Source organism: Homo sapiens, chromosome X (assembly GCF_000001405.40).
Source record: "Homo sapiens chromosome X, GRCh38.p14 Primary Assembly".
Taxonomy (NCBI): domain Eukaryota; kingdom Metazoa; phylum Chordata; class Mammalia; order Primates; family Hominidae; genus Homo; species Homo sapiens.
Window position 1 is genome coordinate 55,793,574 of NC_000023.11, and position 3,310 is coordinate 55,796,883.

The 3,310-nt window shown below is 37.0% G+C and overlaps 1 annotated feature.

Annotated features, from left to right (window-relative positions):
• Positions 1,035-1,114: a silencer, noted in NCBI's record as "silent region_20868". NCBI's record gives its function as "represses an Ori minimal core promoter by ATAC-STARR-seq in GM12878 lymphoblastoid cells {active_cell/tissue: GM12878}" and the evidence as "EXISTENCE:reporter gene assay evidence [ECO:0000049][PMID:35858748]".

Sequence of the window (3,310 nt, forward strand, 5' to 3'; positions counted from 1 at the left end):
ATGAATATTGTTTCCTCTAACATTTACGTATACTTATGTTCTAGTTTCTCTAAAATAATTTGTATTAATTGTGTCATAAATATTTTTATTGACAGTTAACATTTATTGGGTGTCTAATGTGTGCCAGACACTACATATATCTTATAATCCTCACGGTCACCCTAGTGAGTTAAGTATTATCTATCCTCCCACCCCCTGCATTATACAGATGATGAAATAGAGTCTTACAGTGACTTGGGCAAGATCATGCAGCTGGGATGACTGGAAGCTGAAACCAGATCTGTTTGGCCCAAGTCCGTGCATTTACCTGCAGCTATACTGCCTTTCCTGGTTAGCTCATAGACCATGTCAGAATCTGGAAAAAAAAATAGCTGTTCCAACTGTCAGAATGTTATACCACAGTGGTTTATGTAATAGCCTTATTTTGTTTATTTTTTTTTAGCAGAACACTTTCTTCAAATGAAATGTTATATAACAGGCTCTCAATAAGTGCTTATTCAGTTTTCCTTGAGATACTCCTACTCTGATCTCCTAAACACGAGTTCATGTGCCTGCCCCAAGCTGAGATCTCAATGGCTCTTGTTACTTATGCTTTCTCACATCCCTCCTGGGAAATGTTGGCTTATCCCGTTAGGATGGGATCTTGAACTTGAGGATGATGAAGTGTCAGCAAGGGGTCTAGGACCACAGGAATCCCTGCCATCTCCACAAGGACTGTTGTTATTTTTGAAAGAATCTCCCATGTAAACAGAAGAAGCCTTGGTACTTAAACACTAATGTCATATCATCAGATTGCTAGACCTTGTGAAAAATGGGCTTCCTTTTTGGATCTGTGAATTCTGTTTTGCCTCATTATGTTTTTCTGACTACACTCTGCCCTTCCTTGTTTTAATCCAATATACTGTCAGTAATTTGAATTAGCAATCTCAGTACTGAATGAAGGAGGAGAACGGTGTCATCACTGAAGTGGAAACATTGTCAGGGGTTGCCCAACTGAACACCATTAGTTTGATGCCTTTTCTACCCAGCTTGGTAAAGTCCCTGTTGTCATGGTTCCTTTGTGAAAGTTCTCTCACCCTCATAATTACACATGCCTCATTGCCTATAGTACTTGTGAATGGAATACAAGGCCCTCATATCTGCTTCCTGCCTCATATCATTTTCCTCTAATGCAACACCCTTGCCTTGAGTTTTACATTCTGTATCACAGAGCATTTCTTTCTTTCTTTTTTATTTTGAGACAGAGTCTCACTCTGTTACCCAGGCTGGAGTGCAGTGATGCAATCTCGGCTCATTGCAACCTCCACCTCCTGGGTTCAAGCAACTCTCCTGCCTCAGCCTCCCGAGTAGCTGGGACTACAGGCACATGCCGCCATGCCTGGCTAATTTTTTGTATTTTATTAGAGACGGGGTTTCACTGTGTTGCCCAGGCTGGTTGCAAACTCCTGAGCTCAGGCAATCTGCCTGCCTCGGCCTCCCAAAGTGCTGGGATTACAGGCATGAGCCACCGCACCTGGCCATCACAGAGCATTTCTAACTTTCTGTGTACTCAATGTGGGCTTCTGTTCATGCTGTTTCAATCTGCTTGTAATGCCCCTCTTCTCAGTTTTTCCACCTGGCTAACTCATTTATTTTTCTTTTTTTTTTTCTAAAATAGATACATAAAGGTGGAATTGTTGGATTAAAGAAAGTGAACAATCTTATTTGATTTCTACCAAATTAACTTCCAAAAATGCTTAACCGAATTGGATATGTGCCAATAACATATGACAGTAACTGTTTTTCCTCCTCTACCAATATTACATTTCACTAATTATGTAATTTTTGTCGGTCTTGTGAGAGAAAAGTGGTATTTCACGGTAGTTTTGATTTGCTTTTCTCTGGTCTCTACTAAGGTGGAATTTTTAAATTTTCCTATTTGGCTATCTGTATTTCTTTTATGAATTCTCTGTTCATATACTTTACCAATTTCTATGAGATTGTCTTTTTCTTATTTAATGTAGTCTTTCTTTGTGTTTTTGATATCAAGATTTGGCTGTAGTACATGTCACAAATATTTTCAACGAGTCTGTGACATGTGGCATTTTATTTGTATGTATGGGTGTATACAAGTTAACTTTAAAGTTGTCAAATGTATAAATCTTTTCATCATGGTGTCTGTATTTTACATCTTCCTTAGACTGGCTGTCCTTATGCCAAGGTTTATTAGATTATTAGAAAGTTATCCTTTATTTTCTCCTAATCTTTTATAGTTTTGTTTTTTATGTTCAGTTCTTTAAAACTTTGGAATTCATGTGTGCTTATAGTGTGAGGTTGATATCTAATCTAGGGGATGGGAATTCAACAGTGAAACCGGTAAAAGTTACTGACCACATAGAGTGGGAATTATGGTGAGCTTTTTTCTTTGATTATGCATTCATTTCTAATTCTCTTAAATATTATACCTTTTCAAGATAAATACCATACGATCTCACTTATATGTGGAATCTAAGAAAGTCAAACTGATAGAAGTAGAGAGTAGAATGGTGGTTACCAGGGACTAGGGGGTGATACTGGGGAGATATTGATCAAAGCATACAAAATTTCAGTTAGACAGGAAGAATAAATTCAAGAGATCCATCATGGTACAACATGGTAACTATAGTTAAAAACAATGTATTGTATAGTTGAAAATTATAAAAAGAGTAGATTGTAAGTGTTATCACCAAAAATAAATATTATAGCTTCTTGATATATTTTAATATCTGGTGGGGCAAATTTTCCCTCATTGTTCATCTATACAGTCACATGTTGCTTAACAACAGGGATGCATTCTGAGAAATGTGTCAGTAGGCAATTACGTTATGTGACCCTCATAAAGTGGACTTACACAAATCTAGATTGAATAGCCTGCTACCCATCTAGGCTTTATGGTACAGCCTATTGTTCTATGCTACAAACCTGCATGTTACGGTACTGAATACGGTAGGCAATTGTAATGCAATGGTAAGTATTTGTGCATTTTAACATCTAAACATAGTAAAAATATGGTATAAAAGTTAAAAAATGGTACACCTGTGTAGGGCACTTACCATGTGTGGTATTGGCAATCTGGAAATTGAACTGGAAGAACTGGAAGTTGCTCTGGGTGAGTCAGTGAGTGAGTGGTGAGTAAACATGAAGGCTTAGGACATTCTACACACTACGGTAGACTTTGTAAATACTCTACATTTAGGCTACACTAAATTTATGAAAAAATATTTTCCTCTTCAATAATAAATTAACTTTAGCTCTCTATAACATTTTTACTTTATAAGCTGTTTACTTTTTT